Here is a 24,695-nt window from a genome sequence, read left to right on the forward strand (position 1 = left end):
GCATGGTGGCGGGTGCCTGTAATCCCAGCTACTCGGGAGGCTGAGGCAGGAGAATTGCTTGAACCTGGGAAGTGGAGGCCTCAGTGAGCTGAAATCATGTTATTGCACTCCAGCCTGGGTAATAAAAGCGAAACTCCATCTCAAAAATATAAATAAATAGGGGCCGGGCGCAGTGGCTCATGCCTGTAATCCCAGCACTTTGGGAGGCCAAGGCAGGCAGATCACAAGGTCAGGAGATCGAGACCACTCTGGCTAACACGGTGAAACCCCATCTCTACTAAAAATACAAAAAATTAGCCGGGCGTGGTGGTGGGCGCCTGTAGTCCCAACTACTCGGGAGGCTGAGGCAGGAGAATGGTGTGAACCCAGGAGGCAGAGCTTGCAGTGAGCTGAGATCGCGCCACTGCACTCTAGCCTGGGTGACAGAGTGAGATTCTGCCTCAAAAAAAAAAAAAAAAGATAGATAGATAGATAGATAGAGATATATATGTAAATAAATAAACAAATACATAAATTTTGAGGGGAGTAAAGATGTTATCTCGCTATGTTGCCCACACTGATCTCAAACTCCTGGCCTCAAGCAATCCTCCCATCTCAGCCTCCCAAAGCAACATTTGTCCTTTTGTGTCTGTATTATTTCATGTGGCATAATGCTGTCAAGGCCCTTTCATGTTGTAAGATGTAGCAGAACTTCATTCCTTTTTTTTTTTTTAATTTCAGCTCACTGCAACTTCTGCCTCCCGGTCTCCTGCCACCACTCCCGGCCATCCTCCCACCTCAGCCTCCTGAGTAGCTGGGACTACAGGCACGCACCCCCATGCTAGGCTAATTTTGTATTTTTAAATAGAAACAGGATTTTGCCATGTTGCCCAGGCTGGTCTCGAATTCCTGAGCTCAGGTGATTCACCTGCCTCAAACTCCTGGGCTCAAGTGGTCTGCTCACCTCAGCTTCCCAAAGTGTGGGGATTACAGGAGTGAACCACCATGCCTGGCCCTTTGCCTATTTTATTTTATTTTATTTGAGACGGAATCTCGCTCTGTCATCCAGGCTGGAATGCAGTGGTGCAATTTCAGCTCGCTGCAACTTCCAACTTCCGCCTCCTGGGTTCAAGCGATTCTCCAGCCTCAGCCTCCCGAGTAGCTGGGATTACAGATGTGAGCCACCACACCAGGCTAATTTTTGTATTTTTAGTAGAGATGGGGTTTCACCATGTTGGCCAGGCTGGCCTTGAATTCCTGACCTCAGGTGACCCTCCTGCCTTGTCCTCCCAAAGTGTTGGGATTACAGGCATGAGCCACCGTGCCCAGCCCCTTTTCCCATTTTAGAATTGGGTCTTGTGGGGTATTGTTGTTTCTGCTATTGTTGTTGAGTTATAGGAGTTCTTTATATATACTAGATATTAATCCCTTATCAGATATATAATTGGCAGGTATTTTCTCACATCCTGTGGGACTCTGTTGATGGTGTCCTTTGATGCCTAAAAATTTTCCATTTTAATGAAGTTCAATATACCTGTACCAAATCTAATGTCATAAAATTTTCCCCCATTTGCTTTTAAGAGTTTTATAGTCTGGGCACGGTGGCTCAAGCTTGTAATTCCAGCACTTTGGGAGGCCAAGGTGGGCAGATCACTTGAGCCCAGGAGTTCAAGACCAATGTGGGCAACATGGTGAGATGCCATCTCTACAAAAAACAAAAACAAAAGTTAGCTGGGCATGGTGGCACACATCTATAGTCTCAGCTACTCAGGAGGCTGAGGTGGAAGGATTACTTGAACCTGGGAAATTGAGGCTGCAGTGAGCCATGATGGTGCCACTGTATTCCAGCCTGGGTGACAGAACAATACTTTGTCTCAAAAAAAAAAAAAAGAAAGAAAGAAAGAAAGAGGAAAAAAAGAATTTTGTAATTTTGGCTAATACATTTAGCTCTTTCATTCAGTTTGATTAATTTTTGTATATCATGCAAGGTAAGGTAAGGATGCCACTTCATTTTTTTGCATATGGCTATCCAGTTTTCCCAGCACCATTTATTGAAAAGACTGTCCTTTCCCTGTCGAATGGTCTTGGTACCCTTGTCAAAAATCATCTGACCATATGTGTGAGGGTTTATATCTGGGATTTCTATTCTATTCCATATGTCTGTCTTTATGCCAGTACCAAACTGTTTTGATTACAGTAACTTTGTAATAAGTTTTGAAATCAGGAACTGTGAATCATCCAATTTTGTTTTTCCTTTTAGAAATTATTTTGGCTATTCATCATCCCTTGAGATTCCATACACATTTTTTTATGAGACAGAGTCTCGCTCTTTCGCCCAGGCTGAAGTGCAGTGGCATGATCTTGGCTAACTGCAACCTCCGCCTTTTGGGTTCAAGCAATTCTTGTGCCTCAGCCTCCTGAGTAGCTGGGATTACAGGCAGCTGCCATGATGCCCGGCTAATTTTTGTTTTTGTGTTTTGTAGAGATGGGGGTCTCACCACATTGGCCAGTTTGGCCTCAAACTCCTGGCCTCAAGTGATCTGCCCAGCTTGGCCTCCCAAAAGTGCTGGGATTACAGGCATGAACCACGGCGCCTGACCTGTAGAAAGGTTTTAAACTATAATTTCAATGTCTTTAATAGTTATAGGGCTATTCAAGTTATCCTTTTCTTCTTGAGTGAGCTTTGGTAATTGGTGTCTTTCAAGAAATATGTCCGTTTCATCTAAGTTGTTGAATTTAGTGCCATAATCTTGCTTATAGTTTTCCCTTATTATCCTTTTAATGTCTGTAAAATCTGTATTGATTTCATCTCTTTAATTCCTAATATTGTTAAGTTGTGTCTTCATTTTTTTTCTGTCCAGTCTAGCTAGAAGTTTGTCAATTTCATACACCATCCCACAAAAGCAGCTTTGGGCTCACTGATTTTCTCTATTGTTTTTCTGTTTTCTGTTTCATTGATTTCAGATTTTACCCTTATTAGTCCTTCTCCTCTCTTCTGCTTAATTTGTATTTAATTTTCTCTTAATTTTCTTGTTTCTTAAGTAGTTGAATTTATTAATTCAAGGCATTTTCTTTTTCCTAATATAGGTGTTCTGTGCGGCATCTCACCAATTCTGATGTGGGTGTGTGTTTTTATTTTCATTTAGTTCAAAAGACTAATATCCCTTTTCATTTCTCCTTTATTCCATAGCTTATTTAGAAGTGTGTTATTTGGTCTCCAAATATTTGGGGATTTGTCAAGCATCTTTCTGTTATTAATGTCTTTTCTTTTCTTCTTTTTTTTTTGAGACAGGGTCTCACTCTGTTCCCCAGGCTGGAGTACAGTGGCGTGATCTTGGCTCATTGCAACCTCCACCTCCTGGGTTTCACAGCGATTCTCCCACCTCAGTCTCCCAAGTAGCTGGCACTATAGGCGCACGCCACCATGCCTGGTTTATTTTTTGTATTTTTAGTAGAGATGGGGTTTCACCATGTTGGCCAGGCTCGTCTCCAACTCCTGATCTCAAGTGATCTGCCTGCCTCGGCCCCCCAAGGTGCTGGGATTACAGGCGTGAGTCACTGCACCCGGCCTGGTTTATAGTTTTTATTTGTTCGGACAATTGTCTTTCCTCTCCTTTACAGATTTCAATTATTTGTATATTAGATTACTTGAAGTTGTCCCAAAGCTCATTAATGTTTCTTTTTCTAATTCTTTTTTCTCTGTGTGTTTTTCTCGTTGTGGTAGTTACTATTGCTGTGCCTTCAAATTCACTAACCTTTTCTTCTGCAATGTCTAATTTGTCATTAATCCCATCCAGTGTACTTTTTAGAAAAAAATCTCATTGTAGGCTGGGTGCAGTGGCTCACGCCTATTAATTCCAACACTTTGGGAGGCTGAGGTGGGAGGATCACTTGAGGTCAGGAGTTCGAAACCAGTCTAGCCAACATGGTGACATCCCATCTCTACTAAAAATACAAAAATTAGTTGGGCGTGGTGGCGTGACCTGTAATCCCAGCTACTTGGGAGGCTGAGGCAGGAGAATCACTTGAGCCTGGGAGACAGAGGATGCAGTGAGCCGAGACTGCATCACTGCACTCCACCCTGGGCAACAGAGCGAGACTCTGTTGCAAAAAAAAAACCTCATGTAGGTTTTATCTATAGAAGTTCAATTTGGAGGCCGGGCGCGGGTGGCTCACACCTGTAATCCCAATACTTTGGGAGGCCGAGGCAGGTGGATCATGAGGTCAGGAGATCGAGACCATCCTGGCTAACATGGTGAAACCCTGTCTCTACTAAAAAATACAAAAAAATTAACCGGGCATGGTGGCGGGCACCTGTAGTCCCAACTACTCGGGAGGCTGAGGCAGGAGAATGGCGTGAACCCAGGAGGCAGAGCTTGCAGTGAGCGGAGATCACGCCACTACACTCCAGCCTGGGTGACAGAGCGAGACTCCATCTCAAAAAAAAAAAAAAGAAGTTCAATTTGGGTCTTCTTAATATTTCCCACATCTCTAGTTAACGTCTGAGCATTTGAAATAGTTATAATAACTGTTTTAATGTCCTTTTCTGCTAATACTAATATCTGGGTGAGTTCTGGGTTGATTTACATTGTTTACTCTCCTCATTACCGGTCACATGTTCCTGTTTCTTTGTATGTCAGTAATCCTTGCTTGGACACCATACACTGTGAATTTTACCTTTCTTGAAGCTGGATATATTTGTATTACCAGAACTCTTCTTGAGCTGTGTTCTGGAATACAGTTAAGTTACTTGGAAACCACGCCGAGCACAGTGGCTCACGCCTGTAATCCCAGCACTTTGGGAGGCCAAGGCAGAAGGATCATTTGAGGTCAGGAGTTTGAGACCAGCCTGGCCAACATGGTGAAACCTCGTCTCTACTAAAAATACAAAAAAGTTAGCTGGCTTTGGGAGGCTAAGGCGGGCAGATCATGAGGTCAGGAGTTCGAGACCAGTCTGGCCAACATAGTGAAACCCCGTCTCTACTAAAAATACAAAAAATTAGCCGGGTGTGGTGGTGTGAGCCTGTAATCCCAGCTACTAGGGAGGCTGAGGCAGGAGAATCGCGTGAACCCAGGAGGCGGAGGTTGCAGTGAGCTGAGATTGAGCCACTGCACTCCAGCCCAGGCAACAGTGTAAGACTCTGTCTCCAAAAAAAAAATTAGCTGGGTATGGTGGTGCACACCTGTAATCCCAGCTACTAGGGAGGCTGAGGCAGGAGAATCATTTGAACCTGGGAAACAATGGTTGCAGTGAGCCGAGATTGTGCCACTGCACTCCAGCCCGGGAGACAGAGTGAGATTCCATCTCAAAAAAATAAAAAAAAAAAAAGCTACTTGGGAACCATTTGATGCATTCAAGTCTTGCTGTTATGCCCTGTTAGGTGGGTATTAGGCAGTGTGCAATCTAAGGCTAATTTTCCCCTCTAATGAGGCAAGACCTTGCTTAGTCCTCTACCCAATGACCTGTGAATTCTGAACAGGCATTGTTCTTGGCCCTGTCTGAGTGTCAAGCACTATTCCAATGCATTCAGATGGTTCTTTCCCTAGAAGCAAGTGATTATGTCACACGTGTATGCTGATGTACTCTGCTACATACTCCAGGGGTTCCTCTGCAGATCTCCGGGGTTCTCTCTCTGTGCAAAACTCTCTCTCTGGTACCCTTCCTTATAAGCTGCAGTTACCTTGTTCTTTCTGGACTTAGCTCTGTTACAACCAAGGAAGTCAGCTGGTCTCTTGTCTTAGTTCTCCTTCCCTGTGTGATGACCTGATAAACTCTCAAGTCTGTAAGCTAAGCAATTGCAGGGCTCACCTCACGTTTACCATCTCTCGAACACTATCTTTTGTCACCTGATGTCTAGTGTCTTGAAAAAAACATTGTTTCATGCATTTTTTTGTTTATTGTTGCAGCTGGGAGGGTATATCTGGTCTTTGTCACTTCGTCGTGGACAGAAGCGTAAATTAGGACCTTTACTCTGAAATGGACATTTTTGAGAAGAGTGAAATGAGTTACACTTTACAAGATTCTTTTTGTTGCTGTGTTAAGAATGGAAGAGGGTTAAGGGCAGAATTAGGGAGACAAATTAGGAGTCTACAGCAAGAGACAGTGTTGGCTTGGTAGTAGTGGGGGCCATTAGAAATTGGTAGAGGCCAGGCTCGGCTCGTGCCTGTATCCCAACAGTTTGGGAGGCTGAGGAAGGAGGCAGGAGGATCCCTTGAGAACAGCAATTTGAGACCAGCCTGGGCAACACAGGGAGACCTTGTCTCTACAAATAATTTTTTTTTTTTTTTTTTTTTTGGAGAGAGAGAGTCTTGCTCTGTCGTGCAGGCTGGAGTACAGTGGTGCGATATCGGCTCACTGCAACCTCCGCCTCCTGGGTTCAAGCAATTCTCCCGCCTTAGCCTCCCAAGTACCTGGGAATACAGGCGCGTGCCACCACTAATTTCTTTTGTATTTTAGTAGAGACGGGGTTTCACCGTGTTGCCCAGGCTGGTCTCGAACTCCTTAGCTCAGGCAATCCGACCGCCTTGGCCTCCCAAAGTTCTAGGAATATAGGCGTGAGCCACCGCACCCAGCCTCTACAAATAATTTTTTTTTTTTTTTTTGAGATGGAGTCTCGCTCTATCGCCCAGGCTGGAGTGCAGTGGCGTGATCTCGGCTCACTGCAACCTTCGCCTCCCAGGTTCCAGAGATTCTCCTGTCTCAGGCTCCCAAGTAGCTGGGATTACAGGAGTCCGCCACCACGCCCAGCTAATTTTTGTATTTTTAGTAGAGATGGGGTTTCATCATGTTGGCCAAGCTGGTCTTGAACTCCTGACCTTGTGATCTGCCCACCTTGGCCTCTCAAAGTGCTGGGATTACAAGCGTGAGCCACTGCGCCTGGCCAAATAATTTTTAAAATTTGCCGGGTGAGGTGATGTGCGCCTGTGATCCCACCTACTCGGGAGGCTGACGTGGGAGGCTTGCTTGAGTGCAGGAGGTTGAGGCTGCAGTGAGCTATGACTGTACCACTGCACTCCAACCTGGGTGACAGAGCAAGTCCATCTCCCCTCAACACACATAGCAAAAAAAAAAAAAAAAAAAAAAAAGAGAGAGAGAAAGTGGTAGAATCTGGGCAAAGTTAGAGCTGCCGGAGGAATCTGAAGGAATGGTGTGGAGCGTGGGAGGAATAAGATGCTTCCAAGGCTTCTGGCTTGAGTAAGTGGAGGAATGGAGTTTCATTCATTGAGCTGGAGAAGACTGCAGGAGAAGTGTGGGGAGCATGAGACATGTTCTTCTTGGGATGCCTATTCATTCTCCAAGATAAAAATTTTTTTTCTTAAGTCGCTGTACAAGTGGAGATTTCAAAGCAGGCAGTTGGCTATATAGATGTGGAGTTTAGGGGAATGGTCTGGGCTGGAGATGAATATTTGGGAGTCATAACCATATGAAAATGTAACCTGGCCGGCCGCGGTGGCTCACACCTGTAATCCCAGCACTTTGGGAGGCCGAGGCGGGCGGATCACGAGGTCAGGAGATCGAGACCATCCTGGCCAACACGGTGAAACCCCATCTCTACTAAAAAAAAAAATACAAAAAATTAGCCAGGCATGGTGGCGGGCGCCTGTAGTCCCAGCTACTCCGGAGGCTGAGGCAGGAGAATCGCTTGAACCTGGGAGGCTGAGGTTGCAGTGAGCCAAGATCGCGCCATTGCACTCCAGCCTCGACAACAAGAGCCAAACTCCGTCTCAAAAAAAAAAATTAAATAACAGCAAGCAACTGCATGCACGTCTGGGGGCGGTGTCCGGGGTGAGAAAGGCCCCGCCAGCAATCCATCCCACAATCAGCGATGGCTGAGGGGGTCTGGACCTCGCGGGACGGGGCTGCACGCCCCCAAGCAAATGCACAGCGCGGCTAAATTGGATTCGACAGCACCGGAAACGGCGACTCCCACTTGGGGCGCTGCGGACACACGAGTCGAGGCTGCCTTCCAGGAAGCAAACAAAAAAAGGGGGGAAAAGGGGGGGAAAGAAAGAAAGAGAAAAAGGAGGGCGAGTGGCGAGCAGGGGCCTCGGCCGCCACCCACACGCCCCGAAGCGTGCTCGTCCCCCGCGCGGGGCTCCCGGCCGCCGCCCTCGGCCATCGGCTGCTCCCCGGTGGCCCAGGCCTCGGACTCCGCGGCCGGCCCGGCGCGGCCCAGCGCCCTCAGGTGCGTACCCCGCCCCCGCCGCCGACGCCGCCGACGCCGCCATTAAGGGCGGGTTGCCTTTCGGAACGTCCTCCTCCTGAGGGCCTGGGGAAGGGAGGCCGCCCGGCCGCAGCGGGAGGTGGCCCCCCGGGACACCCCGGCGCCCCGAGGCGAGGCACCCCCGAACCCCGATCCCTGCTGGCAGGACCAGAGGTGTGAGGGTGGGGGCGGGGAAGCCTTGCCGCGGGGGCAATGGTCGTACGCACGGAGCGCACATCCCTCTCCTTCCTGATTGGCCGAGCGGGGGTGTGCGTGATGCCACGCTCCGCCCGTCGTACGTGGGGCGCTCGCGCTGCGTGCAGACGCGCTTGATTGGTTAGATAAGGGGGCGGGGGCCGCCGCTGTTACCAGGCAACTGCGCCCCGGATCCGCCCCCTGACGTCACGCGTTGCCTAGAGGCCCAGGTTGTGGGTTTTGTCCGTGGGTATGGTCCTCGCGACGGCCTCCGGGGATCTGTTTGTTGGCGGAAAACCAATCCAGACTCCCAAGGAAAAAGGCCGAGGCCCGGGAATTTCCCGTTGCAATTCTGGTTTCGAGTTCTAGGGGGAAAAAGGCTCGCAAGGCTGTATTCTCCATCCCTCAAGCCCAAGCTTTCTTGTTTCTTAATAACAGCTTCGTTGAGATCCATTGTAAAATTCACGTTTTAAGAGTGAATAATTCAGTGCACAGAGCTGTGCAACCTTTGCCACTAATTGCAGAACGCTTTCAGCACCCGAGGAGAAGAAACCCCAACCCCATTAGGCCGTCATTCCCCGGTCCCCACCCCGTCCCTATCCCCAGCCCCTGGCAATCACTTTTGTCTCCGTGGATTTGCCTATTCTGGACATTTCGTGTGGATAGAATCATCCCAAGAAGTTTTTTGTGTGTCTGGCTTCTTTCCTTCTTTATGGCTGAATAAAAATCCATGATATGAATACACAGCATTTTGATTTTCCATCCATTGATGGCTATTTGGGTAATTTCCACCTTTTGGCTGTTATGAATAATACTGCTATGAACATTGGTGTACACGTTTTTGTGCGGACATTTGTTTTCAATTCTCATAGGTGTATACCAAGGACTGGAATTGATGGGCCAAGCTTTGTGTTTTAAGGAAAAAAAAATCATGTTTTAGTTTCGTGCTGGTAATTTGAAGTAAGCAGATGTCTAGATATAAGCTTGGAAACTGGCCAGTTGGAGATTGCTCACGGCTGCAATTGAAGACTCCAGCAGCCTCTTCTCCTCTTTGCTTCCATTTGGAGAGGAAGGCGTCATAGGCTGTGTGACTTCCGTGGACGCGGGGCTTGGCACCGGCTTGCAGTTGGGATCAATCTTCAGTGGCGGTTTGGAGTGGGTCACGGTTCTTCCTGCTTGCCTTCCAGTTTAGTCCCTGACGTCTGCTCCCCAGGGCCCTGGCTCTTCCCCCACGCCTTCAGCCTGCACAGTCCCTTCTCTCATTCTCAGGCTGCAGAACCTGGAAGTACAGTTGTCCCCCCTTACCCGCTGTTTCAGTTACCTGAGGTCAACCGTGGTCTGAAAATACTACATGGAAAATTCCGGAAATAAACAATTCGTAAGTTTTAAATTGCACGCTGTGATGAAATCTCGCGCTGTGCAGCCTGGGCAGTGAATCGTCCCCTTTGTTCAGCGTCCCCACGCTGTGGACGCTCCACACCCATAGTCACTTAGTAGCTGGCTCGGTTATCAGATCGACCGTCACAGTGTCCCAGTGTATGTGTTCAAGTCACCCTTATTTTCCGTCATAATGGCCCCAAAGCACAAGAGTAGTGATGCTGGGAATTTGGATAGGCCAAAGAGAAGCCGTAAAGTGCTTCCTCTAAGTGAAAAGGTGAAAGTTCTCGACTTAATCAGGAAAGACAAAAAATCCTATGCTGAGGTTGCTAAGATCTACGGGAAGAATGAATCTTCCATCCGTGAAATTGTGAAGAAGGAAAAAGAAATTCGTGCTAGTTTTGCTGTCTCACCTCCAACTGCTAAAGTGACGGCCACAGTGCGTGATAAGTGCTTAGTTAAGATGGAACAGGCACTGCATTTGTGGGTGGAAGAGATGAACAGAAAACGTGTTCCCATTGACAGCAACATGTTGCGCCAGAAAGCTTTGAGCCTATACCAAGACTTCTGCAAGGGATGCTCTGAAACTGACACCAAGCCATTTACTGCGAGTAAGGGATGGTTACACAGATTCAGGCATAGATTCTCACATCATTACAAGAAGAAGAAGAAGGGTAAGTACGTTACAACAAGTTATACTGAGAGAGAGAGAGATCACATTCACATAACATTACAGTACTTGATATTCTATTTTATTATTGTTGTTGTTAATTTCTTACTGTGCCTAATTTATAAATTAAAATTCATCGTAGGTATGTATGTACAGGTTGAACATCTCTAATCCAAAAATCCAAAATTTGAACCGTTCCAAAATCCAAAACTTATTGAATGCCGCTGACCTGATGCAAGTTGAAAATTCCATACCTGTCACCTTTGCCTTTATTTTTTTTTTAAGACAGTCTCGCCCTGTCGCCCAGGCTGGAGTGCAGTGTTGCGATCTCGGCTCACTGTAAGCTCCATCTCCCGGATTCAAGCCATGCTTCTGCCTCAGCCTGCAGAGTAGCTGGGATGACAGGCGTGTACCACCACGCCCGGCTAATTTTTACGTTTTTAGTAGAGACGGGGTTTCACCATGTTGGCCAGGCTGGTCTCGAAATCTTGACGTCAGTTGATTCACCCATCTCAGCCTCCCAAAGTGCTGTGATTACAGGCATGAGTCACCACGCCCGGCAGGCCTTCTTTGTTTTTCTCTTGAGACAGAGTCCTACCCAGGGCCTCGCCCTGTTGAAATGGTGGGATCACAGCTCACTGCAGCCTTGACCTCCTGGGCTCAAGCAATCCTCCCATCTCAGCCTCCTGAGTAGCTGGGACCACAGGCATACACCCCCACACCTGGCTAATTTTTAATTTTTTTGTAGAGGTGAAGTCCCATTATGTTGCCAGGCTGGTCCCACTATGTTGCCCGGACTGGCCAACATGGCGAAACCCTGTCTCTACTAAAAATACAAAAATTAGCCAGACATGGTAGTGCACACCTGTAACCCCCAGCTACTTGGGAGGCTGAGGCAGGAAAATCACTTGAACCTGGGAGGCGGAGGTTGCAGTGAGCCAAGATCGCGTCACTGCACTCCAGCCTGGGCGACAGAGCGAGACTCCATCTCAAAAAAGAAAAAGAACATAATAGATTTAGGGTTTGGCACTATCTGCAGTTCCAGGCATCCGCTGAGGGTCTTGGAATGAGTCTGCTGAAGATAAGGGGGAGAATCCTGGCCCTTCATTTCTCTTGTCCTCCCAGTGGATTCATCTGCGTTCCTACATGCCCTGAGGCCATTTCATGGGTGTCTGGCTCCTTTTACTGTATTGCTTGTGATTCCCCTCCACTCCTTGCCATCAGTATACGTTTTTTTTTGGGGGGAAGGATACAGAGTCTTGCTCTGTCACCTAGGCTGAAGTGCAGTGGCACAATCACGTCCTGCTGCAACCTCCGCCTCCTGAGTTCAAGAGATTCTCCTGCCTCAGCCTCCTGAGTAGTTGGGATTACAGGTGCGTGCCACCATGCCCAGCTAATTTTTTTTTTTTTTTTTGAGATGGAGTTTCGTTCTTGTTGCCCAGGCTGGAGTGCAATGGCATGATCTTGGCTCACTGCAACCTCCGCCTCCCGGGTTCAAGCAATTCTCCCCGCCTCAGCCTCCCGAGTAGCTGGGATTACAGGCACCCACCACCACGCCTGTCCTTTTTTTTTGGATTTTTAGTAGAGACAGGGTTTCACCATGTTGGCCAGGCTGATATGGAACTCCTGACCTCAGGTGATCCACCTGCCTCAGCCTCCCAGAGTGCTGGGATTACAGGTGTGAGCCACCTCGCCTGGCTACTAGTATACATTTTTACATCGCAGGTGATCATTACATTTTTGTTGAATGGTGAAACATGTACTCTTGTGTTTGTACTTGTAGGCTGAGCTGTGAAGAAGGTAGAATTTATTAATTAAAACCAAGCCCTGCGGCTCAGTGTGGTGGCTCACGCCTATAATCCCAGCACTTTGGGAGGCTGAGGTGGGAGGATTGCTTGAGTCTAGGAGTTCAAGACTGGCCTGGGCAACATGGCAAAACTCTGTCTCTACAAAACAAACAAAAAACAACAACAAAAAATTAGCTGGGTACAGTGGTGTGCGCCTGTGCTCCCAGCTACTTGGGAGGCTAAGGTGGGAGGATCACTTAAGCTTGGGAGTCCCAGGCTGCAGGGAGCTATGATCATGCCACTACACTCCAGTCTGGGTGATAGAGCAAGACCCTATCTCAAAAGAAAAAAAGCAAAACAAAACAGAAAACAAGTCCCAGGTCTGGGCACAGTGTCTCATTCCTATAATTCCAGTATTTTGAGAGACTGAGGCAGGAGAATCGCTTGAGCCTAGGAGTTCAAGATCAGCCTGGGCAACATAGTGAAACTTTGTCTCTACAAAAAAAAAAAAAAAAAAAAAAGTCAAAATTAGCCAGGCGCATGGTAAGCTGTGATGATACCACTGCACTTCAATCTGGAGGACAGAGCAGACTCTGTCTCAAAACCAAACCAAAACAAAAAAACTAAGCCCTTTAAAACCTGAAAAATTAATCTTTGGAAGGGAAAATCTAGAAACAGTTTTTAAAAATAAACCAGTCCTCTATTTCAAGATTTCAGAGTTTTCATAAAGGAAGTGGATGACATTCCAAATGATGAAAGGTTGTAAGGGATAGATACAGATTCTAGATCAGTGATGGGCAAACTTTGTTTGTAAGGATAGTAAATATTTTTGGCTTTGGGGACATGGGGTCTTTGTCACATGCATGCAAACCTTCCTTTGCAGGAAAGCAGCTGTAGACAAGATGTCAACAAGTGAATGTGACTGTGTTCTGACAAAGCTTAATTTACAAAACTAGGCTGCGGTCTGGATTTGACCTGTAGGCTGGAGATTGTTCTAGGTATTTGCTTTTCGTTAGTAAAATATTACACTAGAAGGACAGAAACGCCTCCAGCATTGCTGGGAAGACAAAATGAGATTTGGAAGTTTTTGGAGTTTACATCTACAGTTTTAAAAGAGCAAAAAGGGCCAGGCACGGTGGCTCATGCCTGTAATCCCAGCACTTTGGGAGGCTGAGCGGGGCGGATCACCTTAGGTCAGGAGTTCGAGACCAGCCTGGCCAACATGGTGAAACCCAGTCTCTACTAAAAATACAAAAATTAGCCAGATGTGGTGGCACGCACCTGTAATTTCAACTACTCGGGAGGCAGAGTTTGCAGTGAGCTGAGATTGCACCACTGCGCTCCAGCCTGAGCCACAGAGCAAGACTCCATCTCAAAATAAAAGAGTAAAAAGTTAAGTACTATGTAAAAATCTGTGATCTCAGTAAATGGTGCTGGCACTTCAGATGTGAGTAAAAAAAGGGTTAATAACTATATCGGCTTTGGGAGATTTTATTCTGTGGTACAAGTTCTTATGGTGAAGGATTTTTGAGCTTTATTAGAGTGCAGTGAAATTTTCTCAGGAAAATGTACTTGGGACAGGAAACACAGTGTTGGCTTATAGTCACGTTTCATTATTTTCAATTTTCTATTAATGCATGCTGTGTTCCAAATCATAAAATATAAAAGACAACATTCCTGCCTCCATTTGTTGTTATGTACAAAATGCAAAGAAAGCACAATAATTATGAGACACTCAGCCCAGCGCGGTGGCTCACACCTGTAATCCCAGCACTTTGGGAGGATGAGGCAGGCAGATCACTTAAGCCCAGGAGTTCGAGACCAGCCTGGGCAACATGGCGAAACCCCCTCTCTACAAAAAATACAAAAATTAGCTGAACATGGTGGCGCATGCCTGGTATTCCAGCTACTCAGGAGGCTGAGGTGGGAAGATCATCCGAGCCCAGGGAGGCAGAGGCTGCAGTGAGCTGTGATTGCACCACTGCATTCCAGCCTGGGTGACGGAGTGAGACCCTGCCTCAAAAAAATGATAATAATTATTATGAAACACTTGTGTTTTAAATGATTACTGGTAGCATAGTTGACGCCAACTGATAGTATCTTTTTTTGAATTCCACGTGGTATCATCCTGCCTATTATTTTATTCTTCGGTTTTTTCAATTTTTTTATTTCTATTTTTGTTTGTGTTTTTATTTTTATTTTCTTTTTTGTAAAAAAGCAGACTTTTGACATCAGAGCTTGTTTAGGGATTATTGTGGTATAATATTCTGGGGATGACAGAACTGTTTTATACCTTAATTTTACCTATGTAACTTTATATATGTCAGAATTCACAGGGGCCAGGCAGGTGACTGACACCTGTAATCCCAACACTTTGGGAGGCCAAGGTGGCAGATCACCTGAGGTCAGGAGTTTGAGACCAGCCTGGGCAACATGGTGAAACCTCCTATTAAAAAAAAAAAAAATGCAGAAAATGAGCTGGGCATGATGGCACGTGCCTGTGGTCCCAGCTACTCAGGAGGCTGAGGCACGAGGATTGCTTGAGCCCGGGATGGGGAAGTTGCAGTGAGCTGAGAGTGCACCACTGCACTCCAGCCTGGGTGACAGAGTGAGACCTTGTCTCAAAAAAGAAAAAAAAAAAAATCGGCCAGGCACGGTGGCTAACGCCTGTGATCCCAGCACTTTGGGAGGCTGAGGCGGGTGGATCAGGAGGTCAAGAGATCGAGACCAGCCTGGCCAACATGGCAAAATCCCATCTCTACTAAAAATACAAAAATTAGTTGGGCGTGGTGGCGGGCGCCTGTAGTCCCAACTACTCAGGAGGCTGAGGCAGGATAGTCGCTTGACCAGGGAGGTGGAGATTGTAGTGAGCTGAGATCACGCCATTGCACTCCAGCCTGGGCAACAGAGCGAGACTCCGTCTCAAAATAAATAAATAAATAAATAAATAAATAAATAAATAAATAAATAAAACATAATCCTCATCTAGTCTAGTTTACATCAGGTAAAAGAATTTTCGGCCAGGCGTGGTAGATCATGCCTGTAATCCCAGCACTTTGGGAGGCTGAGGCAGGTGGATCACCTGAGGTCAGGGGTTCAAGACCAGCCTGACCAATATGGGGAAACCTCGTCTCTACTAAAAGTACAAAAATTCGCTGGGCATGCCAGGAGTGGTGGCTCACGCCTGTAATCCCAGCACTTTGGGTGACCAAGGCGGGTGGATCACAAGGTCAGGATATTAAGACCATCCTGGCTAACACGGTGAAACCCTGTCTCTACTAAAAATACAAAGAATTAGCTGGGCATGGTGGCACGGGCCTGTAGTCCCAGCTACTCAGGAGGCTGAGGCAGCAGAATCGCTTGAACCCGGGAGGCAGAGGTTGCAGTGAGCCAAGATCAAGCCACTGCACTCCAGCCTGGGCAGCAAGAGCAAAACTCTGTCTCAAAAAAAAAAAAAGAAGAATTTTTATTTAAAACTTTTTTTTTTATTTCACAGGAAATGGATTGCATGATTGTTTTGACCATTTTTCTTCATGCTAAATAAAGTATGCAGACTTAAGCATTGAGTTAAGAGATCGGTGTTTTGATTGCCTTTTGGTCGGCGTCAGGGAGAGACCTCTCTGAGTTTGGAGGTTGTTTTAAGGACGCGGGGTGCCATGATTCTAGTAATTTTGTGTGTGCATTTCACACACAACAACCCATACATAAATATCTTATAATTCATCTTCCAGGCACTTGAGAATGAAGGGAGCATTGTTAATAATTTCACTGGCAGGGTGGGTGTGGACTAGGACTGTCCCACCTGGGACATGTGGGTCACCCATCTTATTTTCCCCTCATGGGGCCTTTCTTCTGTTTGCCTTTCTGCTCCTCCACTGCGGTTGCAGCCTCTGCCATTCCTTAAACCATCTGCACACCCACCAGCAGGCTCCCATGCTCTCTGTGTCCTTTCACGGAAAATAATATTTCCCTTGGAGGGTGTGTAGGTTTTAAATTGGGTGATCGTAAAAGCATCGGCGCATAGAGTGTAGTTCAGTACATGTTAATTTTCTTTTTTTCCATCCAACCTCTCTTTGATTTTATTTGATTTTTAAAAATCTCTTTAGCTGGGCGCGGTGGCTCACGCCTGTCACCCACCACTTTGGGAGGCCAAGGAGGCCAGATCACTTGAGGTCAGGAGTTTGAGACTGGCCTGGCCAACGTGATGAAACCCTGTGTCTACTAAAAATACAAAAATTAGCCAGGCATGTTGACCCAAGCCTGTAATCTCAGCTACTTGGGAGGCTGAGGCAGGAGAATTGCTTGAACCCGGGAGGCGGAGGTTGCAGTGAGCTGAGATCGTGCCACTGCATTCCAGCCTGGGCCACAGAGTGAGACTCCGTCTCAAAAACAAATAAATAAATATGATAAAAACTGTTTTATTGAGATACAATTCATATACTTATACAGTTCACCCATTTGAAGTGTACAGTTCAGGCTGTACACGGAGGCTCATGCCTGTAATCCCAACACTCTGGGAGGCTGAGGTGGAAGGATTGTTTGAGCCCAGGAGTTTGAGACCAGCGTGGGCAACATAGTGAGACCTCTCTACAAAAATAGAAAATTAGCTGAGTGTCGTGGCACATGCCTGTCATCTTAGCTACTCTGGAGGCTGAGGCAGGAGCATTGCTTGAGCCCAGGAGGTCAAGGCTACAGTGATTGCACCACTGCACTCCAACTATGATCATGGCACTGCACTTCAGCCTGGGTGACAGAATGAGACCCTGTCAGAAAAAATAAATAAAAATTTAAAAAATAGGGGTGGGCATAGTGCCTCACACCTATAATCCCAGCACTTTGGGAGGCCAAGGAGGGTGGATCACCTGAGGTCAGGAGTTCAAGACCAGCCTGGGCAACATGGCAAAACCCCATCTCTACTACAAATACAAAAAATTAGCTGGGCATGGTGGTGCACGCCTGTAATCCTAGCTACTCAGGAGGCTGAGGCAGGAGAATCGCTTGAGCCCAGAAGGCAGAGGTTGCAGTGAACTGTGATTGTGCCACTGCACTCCAGCCTGGGAGACAGAGCAAGACCCCATCTCAAAAAAAAAAAAAAAAAAAAGAAAATTAAAAAAAATAAAGTGTACTGTTCAGTGGTTTCTTGAAATATATTCACAGAGTTGTACAACTATCATCACAGTCAATTTTTGTTTTGTTTTGTTTTTTTGTGAGACGGAGTCTCACTCTGTTGCCCAGGCTGGAGTGCAGTGGTGGGATCTCGGCTCACTGCAACCTCCGCCTCCCGGGTTCAAGAGATTCTCCTGCCTCAGCCTCCCGAGTAGCTGGGACTACAGGCGTGCGCCACCATGCCCGGCTAATTTTTGTATTTTTAGTAGAGACAAAGTTTCACCAAGTTGGCCAGGATGGTCTCGATCTCTTGACCTTGTGATCCGTCCGCCTCGGCCTCCCAAAGTGCTGGGATTACAGGCGTGAGCCACTGTGCCCGGCCATCACAGTCAATTTTTGAACATTTTCATCACTCTGAAACCTTTTACCCTTTAGCTATCAACCTGAAATAACCACTAATCTATTCTCAGTTCCTATAGATTTCCCTATTCTAGAAATTTAATATGAATGGAATTACATAATATGTGACTCCTTTGGATTTTAAGTTGAGGGGATTCATAAAAGGTCAGAAGTGAAACATTCATAGGAAGTAGTTGATTGAGCCAGGTGTAGTGGCTCGCAGCTGTAATCCCAGTGTGGATGAGGGGGAAGGATGGCTTGAGTCCAGGAGTTGGAGGCTGCAGGGAGCCATGATCGAGCCACTGCACTCCAGCCTGGGTGACATTGTGAGACTCTGACTCTTAGAAATAAAAAAGCTGACCAGGCTCAGTGGCTCATGGCTGTAATCACAGGGCTTCGGGAGGCCAAGGCAGGTAGATCACTTGAGGTCGGGAGTTCGAGACCAGCCTGGCCAACATGATGAAACCCCATCTCTACTAAAAACACAAAAAATTAGCCGGCCATGGTGGGAGCTGCCTGTAATCCCAGCTACTTGGGAGGCTGAGGCAGAAGAACTGCTTGAACCCCAGAGGCAGGGGTTGCAGTGAGCCAAGATCATGCCATTTCACTCCAGCCTGGGCAACAGAGTGAGACTCCATGTCAAAAAAAAAAAACAATACATACATATATATAAAATAAGGCTGGGCATGGTGGCTCACGCCTGTAGTCCCAGCACTCTGGGAGGCTGAGGCGTGTGGATCAACTGAGGTTAGGAGTTCAAGACCGGCCTGGCCAACATGGTGAAACCCCGTCTCTACTAAAAAAGAGAAAACTTAGCTGGGCCCGGTGGCGGGTGCCTATAATCCCGGCTACTCGGGAGGCTGAGGCAGGAGAATTGCTTGAACCTGGGAGGTAGAGGTTGCAGTGAGCCGAGATCGCACCACTGCACTCCAGCCTGGGTGACAGAGTAAGACCTTGTCTCAAAAAATACATATAAAAATAAATAAATAAGCAGTTGATTTAGTATCTTCTTCAATAGACAAGATGCCTGAGTACAGCCCGTGGTTCTCCTGGCATGTGGTCCCGTGGGGACCAGTGCATCAGGTGCTTCCTAAGCTGGCGTCACCTGCCTGGCCCGATGCCTCCTCTGGTGTTCATTGTTAATTAATGCCACCTCCTGATGGCAGTTTCTTTCTGGGAAGAGGAGAGAAGAGAGGGAGCCGTCCCCAAGTGAAGGGTGCAGGGAAGGCTCCATGAATAGTCTCAACTAAGGACTGTCCCAGGAAGGAACCTCGGGACAAGCAAAGAACAGTGAACTTCTGATGTGACCCGGATGCACCCATTTCCAGAGAGCAGGAAGCACAGAGAAGGCCCGTGGGTCGCCGTCCCCAGGGTGCCTTCCATCCTGCAAGGCTTGCTGCATGCCCTGAAAGTTATGATAAAGACATAGGACCGGCCGGGTGCGGTGGCTCACGCCTGTAATCCCAGCACTTTGGGAGGCCGAGGTGGGCAGATCACGAGGTCAGGAGATCGAGACCATCCTGGCTAACATGGTGAAACCCCGTCTCTACTAAAAATACAAAAAATTAGCTGGGCATGGTGGCACACGCGTATAGTCCCAGCTACTCGGGAGGCTGAGGCAGGAGAATGGCGTGAACCTGGGAGGCAGAGCTTGCAGTGCGCAGAGATCATGCCACTGGGTGCAGTGCGCAGAGATCATGCACTCCAGTCTGGGCGACAGAGCGAGACTCCGTCTCAAAAAAAAAAAAAAAAAAAGACATAGGACCTTCATCACCAGGGGTGCCCCTTGGGCTGTTGCTGTGGCATCTCCCTTTTTTTGTTTTTAGATGGAATCTTACTCTGTTGCCCCACCTGGAGGGCAGTGGCACAATCTTGGCTCACTGCAACCTCCGCCTCCTGGGTTCAAGCAATTCTCCTGCCTCAGCCTCCGGAGTAGCTGGGATTACAGGTGTCTGCCACCATGCCCAGCTAATTTTTAGTAGAGAAGGGGGGGGTCTCACCATGTTGGCCAGGCTGGTCTCGAACTCCTGACCTCAAGTGATCCGCTCGCCTCAGCCTCCAAAAGTGTTGGGATTATAGGCGTGAGCCACCACGCCGGCCCCATTTCTTAATACACATTGAGTGTGATGACATCATAGATCAATGGCAATTGGAGGTGTGAAGAAGTGGAAATAGCACTAGGCAAAAATTGTCCTGGTGTATGTTCTAGCTTTGCTTGGACAACTTGCTAAGTTGTAAAATGAGAATACTTCTACGCCCTTTTCTCTCCCGGGGATGCTAAAGACAAAATAAAGATTACGAATGGAAATTCTCTGAGCTTCCAAAAGAATCAGGATGGAGCATGATCTAAGGGAGTGTTCTGGTGAATGGGAACTTAACACGTCTTTGCCGTTACATATTCTTTGATGTGCATTTGCTTGGTGAGTGGAATCTAGAATGCTCAAGAAAAGACTTTCTAGGACCTACGCGTCTCATGGCTGGATGCCGCTTTTGCTACTCTTCATCTTAGCCAAAAAGCGGAGAGGCAATTGAGGCTGCTTTTTCTGACTCCAGCTCTGTTGCCAGAACAGAGTCTTTGCTATGAAAAACAATACCGGCTGGGCGCGGTGGCTCACACCTGTAATCCCAGCACTGGTGTGGGAGGCAGAAGCAGGAAGATCGCTTGAGCCCAGGAGTTGGAGACCAGTCTGGGCAACATAGTGAAACCCCGTCTCTACTAAAATGCAAAAGTTAGCCAGGTGTGGTGGCATGCACCTGTAGTCCCAGCCACCCGGGGGCTGAAATGGGAGGATCAACTGAGCCCAGAAGGTCGAGGCTACACTGAACTGTGGTAACACTCCAACCTGGGTGACAGAGCAAGATGCTGTCTCAAAACAAAAAACAAAAAACAAAAAAAAAACAACAGACCAGGCATGGTGGCTCTCACCTGTAATCCCAGCACTTTAGGAGGCCGAGGCGGGCGGATCACTTGAGGTCAAGGGTTCGAGACCAGCCTGGCCAACATGGTGTAACCCCGTCTCCACCAAAAATACAAAAATTAGCTGGGTGTGGTGGCTCACGCCTGCAATCCCAACTACTCGGGGGGTTGAGGCAGGAGAATCGCTCGAACCCAGGAGGCAGAGTTTGCAATGAGCTGAGATCGTGCCACTGCACTCTAGCCTGGGTGACAGAGTGATATTCCACCTCAAAAAACAAACAAACAGACAACCAAATCTTTCCCTATCCCTCCCTTCCCCCTACCATTCTGTTTAATAATAATAGAGATATAGAGATTTATAAAAATTTTTAACGATAACAATTTGCATCCTACTGGTTCAGCATAGCTAATGTTCTCAGAAAGATGATAACTCTAAGGGATCCTCGAGTGTCTTCAAAGAATTTTGGTAGATAGTTGCATTTTTAGAATTTCTTTTCAACCTTCTGTAACTGTCCAGACTGGCTAGGGTGTGCTGGGTTGCAAACGACACCAGACTTTGGAGGATTAAAGGAGCAAAGACTTATTTCTTGGTTGCACTAAAAGTCTGTTATGCGTTGGCTGTGAGTCTGTTTCACGTTGTCTGCGATCTGGAACCCAGGCTGCTGTGGTGGTTCCATATGGAAAGTTCCCGGTGACCACCGAGGAGGAAGAGAGTGTGGCAAAATGAAGTTACTTCCCTGACGTCCTCAGTCCACGAAAGTCATGTGGCCACACCACATTCAAGTGGGCAAGAAATCAAACCACATGATCTGAAAGAGACCTTTGTGAATATTTCCAAATAACCGCATGTGACCTCCACACTTAGCTCCCTTACATCTTCAGTTTTGGTCGGGCTCAGTGGCTCACGCCTGTAATCCCAGCACTTTGGGAGGCTGAGGCGGGCAGATCACCTGAGGTCAGGAGTTTGAGACCAGCCTGACCAATATGATGAAACCCCTTCTCTACTAAAAATACAAAAATTAGCCGAGCATGGTGGCGCCTGCCTGTAATCCCAGCTACTTGGGAGGCTGAGGCAGGAGAATCGCTTGAACCCGGGAGGCAGAGGTTGCAGTGAGCAGAGATCACACCACTTCACTCCAGCCTGGGTGACAAGAGTGAAACTCAATAGAAAAATCTTCTGTCTTCCTTCCGCATGCACACTCATGTTGATCTGTGTATCTTTTGCTTACAAATAGAATTAAGCCAAATATTGGAGGGATATGATGGTAGCTGACAGGTACTTAATTTGCATGTTCCATTTCAAAAAGTTGTTTTTAAGATTTCAGAGAATTTTTTTCAAAGAAATTTCTTAAAGCTAACTTCATTTAGAGCTTGGCAAAATGTATCAGCCAGGCACAGTAGCTCATGCCTGTCATCCCGGCACTTAAGGAGGCCGACACAGGAGGATGGCTTAAGCCCAGGAATTTGAGATCAGCCTTGGCGATAGAGCAAGACCCCATCTTTACAAAAAAATGTTTAAAAATTAGCTGAGCCTGGTAATACATGCCTGCAGTCCCATATGCAAAACATAGCTGGGGCTACACGGGAGGGTGAGGCAGGAAGATCACTTGAGCCTGAGAGTTGGAGGATGCAGTGAGCCATGATTGTGCCACTGCACTCCAGACTGGGTGACAGAGTGAGATCCTGTCTCTAAAAACAAAACAAACAAAAAGCTAAAAAAAAAAAAAAATCTTGGCAAAATTTAGAGTGAGCTTTTAGGAGACAGAAGTCCGAAGGGAAGTGGGAAAGAAGGAATTTTCTCTTCCTATCTTTAGCACACAAACCCATTATATCCTTTCTATGTGTAAGTGAAATAGTGTGGTAGCTGTCACAACCATGCTGAAATCTGACTAAACATCATTGGATCAATAAGGTACAAATCCTCCTCTCCTCATCTGGGAAACAGCATGCTCCTCTCACATAATACCTGAGTTTGTTTTACGGGGAGGCCATGTGTAGGTTTAGTGGAAAATATATTCTATAAAGTTAGCATAAAAATAAATGTAAAAGGCTGGGTGCGGGCCGGGCGCGGTGGCTCACGCCTGTAATCCCAGCACTTTGGGAGGCTGAGGTGGGCGGATCACGAGGTCAGGAGATCGAGACCATCCTGGCTAACATGGTGAAACCCCGTCTCTATTAAAAATACAAAAAATTAGCCAGGCGTGGTGGCAGGCGCCTGTAGTCCCAGCTACTCGGGAGGCTGAGGCAGGAGAATGGCGTGAACCTGGGAGGTGGAGCTTGCCGTGAGCGGAGATCGTGCCACTGCACTCCAGCCTGGGCGACAGAATGAGACTCTGTCTTAAAAAAAAAAAAGACTGGGTGCAGTGGCTCACGCCTGTAATCACAGCATTTTGGGAGGCCTAGGCAAGTGGATCACTTGAGGTCAGCAATTCGAGACTGGCCTGGTCCAACATGGTGAAACCCCATCTCTACTAAAAATACAAAAAGTAACCAGGCGTGGTGGTGGGAGCCTATAATCCCAGCTACTTGGGAGGCTGAGGCAGGAGAATCGCTTGAACCTGGGAGGCAGAGGTTGCAGTGAGCCAAGATCGCACCATTGCACTCCAGCCTGGGCGACAGAGCAAGACTCTGTTCCAGAAAAAAAGGCTGGGCATGGTGGCTCATGCCTATAATCCCAGCACTTTGGGAAGCCGAGGCAGGTGGATCACGTGAGACCAGGAGTTCAAGACCAGTATGGGCAACATGGCAAAACCCTGTTTCTACAAAATAAATAAATAAATAAATAAATCCAGGTTTGCTGGAGTGTGCTTGTAGTCCCAGCTGCTTCGGACCCTACAGTGAGTTGAGATTGCCCCACTGCACTCCAGCCTGAGTGACAGAGCAAGACCCTGTGTCTAAATAAATAAATAGTTTTTAAAAAAGAAAGTTGACTGGGCACGGTGGCTTACGCCTGTAATCCCAGCACTTTGGGAGGCCAAGGCGGACGGATCGCCTCAGGTCAGGAGTTCGAGACCAGCCTGGCCAACATGGCAAAACCTCATCTCCACTAAAAATACAAAAATTTGCTGGGTGTGGTGGCAGACACCTGTAATCCCAGCTACTCGGGAGACTGAGGCAGGAGAATCACTTGAACCCAGGAGGTGGTGGTTGCAGTGAGCTGAGATCGTGCCATTGCACCAGCCTGGGTAACAAGAGTGAAACTCAGTCTCAAAAAAAAAAGAAAGAAAGAAAGAGAGTTAGCAGGGTTGGGTGTGGTGGCTCACACCTATAATCCCAGCACTCTGGGAGGCCAAGGAAGGCAGATTGCTTGAGCTCAGGAGTTTGAGACCAGCCTAGGTAACGTGGCGAAACCCCGTCTTTACAAAAAATACAAAAATCAGCCAGGCGTGATGGCGCTCACTTGTAGTCCCAGCTGCTGGGGAGGCTGAGATGGGAGGACTGATTGAATCCAGGGGGCAGAGGTTACAGTAAGCTGTGATTGCGCCACTGCACTCCAGCCTGGGTGACAGAGCAAGATCCTGTCTCAAAATAAAACAAAATAAAATAAAATAAGTTAGCATTACTATTCAGGAGCTCATGGGCAAGTCACTAAATGCCTTTAAATTTCAGTTTCTTCATCTCAAGAGGAAAGTTTGAACTAGATCTTTGGTGAGCACCCTCACATCTCTAAATGTGGGTTTCAGACTCTGAATTTTTGCCACTTTCTTATTGCTTCTCTTGCACAGGGATCATGGCCCAGGTAGCAGTGTCCACCCTGCCTGTTGAAGAAGAGTCCTCCTCAGAGACCAGGATGGTGGTGACATTCCTCGTGTCTGCCCTCGAATCCATGGTGAGACAGCCGGACACTTGTCTGACATTCCATAGATGGATCATTGTCGAAATGACAGAATCATGAAACACTTCAGTATGCCTTTTGTTTTTTTTCTTTTCTTTTTTTTAAGACAGAGTCTCACTCTGTCGCCCAGGCTGGAGTGCAGTGGCACAATCTCAGCTCACGGCAACCTCTGCCTCCTGGGTTCAAGCAATTCTCCTGCGTTCAAGCAATTCTCCTGCCTCAGCCT

General features: G+C 47.3%; 1 protein-coding gene across 3 annotated transcripts in view, besides 5 other annotated features; it reads left to right on the forward strand.

Moving 5' to 3' along the window:
- Positions 1-24,695: part of a non allelic homologous recombination region, noted in NCBI's record as "sub-region SSN11'-SSN13', recombines with sub-region SSN11-SSN13 within the WBS medial block B recombination region", that runs on past both edges of the window. NCBI's record gives the evidence for it as "EXISTENCE:restriction fragment detection evidence [ECO:0001124][PMID:12796854]".
- GTF2IRD2B (GTF2I repeat domain containing 2B) overlaps positions 7,956-24,695 on the forward strand; it is a 57,262-nt gene continuing 40,522 nt past the window's right edge. The window contains exons 1-2 of one of the 3 annotated variants that reach the window (NM_001368301.1): positions 7,956-8,165; positions 24,360-24,463. In NM_001368301.1, coding sequence (NP_001355230.1) covers positions 24,365-24,463 — 99 coding nt within the window. In that variant the 5' untranslated portion in view covers positions 7,956-8,165; positions 24,360-24,364. Of the gene's footprint in view, positions 8,166-9,431; positions 10,430-24,359; positions 24,464-24,695 lie in introns of those variants that run through there. The other 2 variants (NM_001003795.3, NM_001368302.1) reach the window with 2 other exon arrangements.
- Positions 8,084-8,847: an enhancer, noted in NCBI's record as "NANOG-H3K27ac-H3K4me1 hESC enhancer chr7:74267014-74267744 (GRCh37/hg19 assembly coordinates)". NCBI's record gives its function as "activates a minimal SCP1, AML or CMV promoter by ChIP-STARR-seq in naive H9 embryonic stem cells {active_cell/tissue: H9 hESC(naive)}" and the evidence as "EXISTENCE:reporter gene assay evidence [ECO:0000049][PMID:30033119]".
- Positions 8,101-8,310: a silencer, noted in NCBI's record as "silent region_18291". NCBI's record gives its function as "represses an Ori minimal core promoter by ATAC-STARR-seq in GM12878 lymphoblastoid cells {active_cell/tissue: GM12878}" and the evidence as "EXISTENCE:reporter gene assay evidence [ECO:0000049][PMID:35858748]".
- Positions 8,351-8,530: a silencer, noted in NCBI's record as "silent region_18292". NCBI's record gives its function as "represses an Ori minimal core promoter by ATAC-STARR-seq in GM12878 lymphoblastoid cells {active_cell/tissue: GM12878}" and the evidence as "EXISTENCE:reporter gene assay evidence [ECO:0000049][PMID:35858748]".
- Positions 19,870-21,391: a meiotic recombination region, noted in NCBI's record as "meiotic double-strand break mapped by DNA meiotic recombinase 1 chromatin immunoprecipitation followed by single-stranded DNA enrichment and sequencing in the germ cells of some male individuals with PRDM9 AA and PRDM9 AC genotypes". NCBI's record gives the evidence for it as "EXISTENCE:chromatin immunoprecipitation-seq evidence [ECO:0000229][PMID:25395542]".

This window comes from Homo sapiens, chromosome 7 (assembly GCF_000001405.40).
Source record: "Homo sapiens chromosome 7, GRCh38.p14 Primary Assembly".
Lineage (NCBI taxonomy): Eukaryota > Metazoa > Chordata > Mammalia > Primates > Hominidae > Homo > Homo sapiens.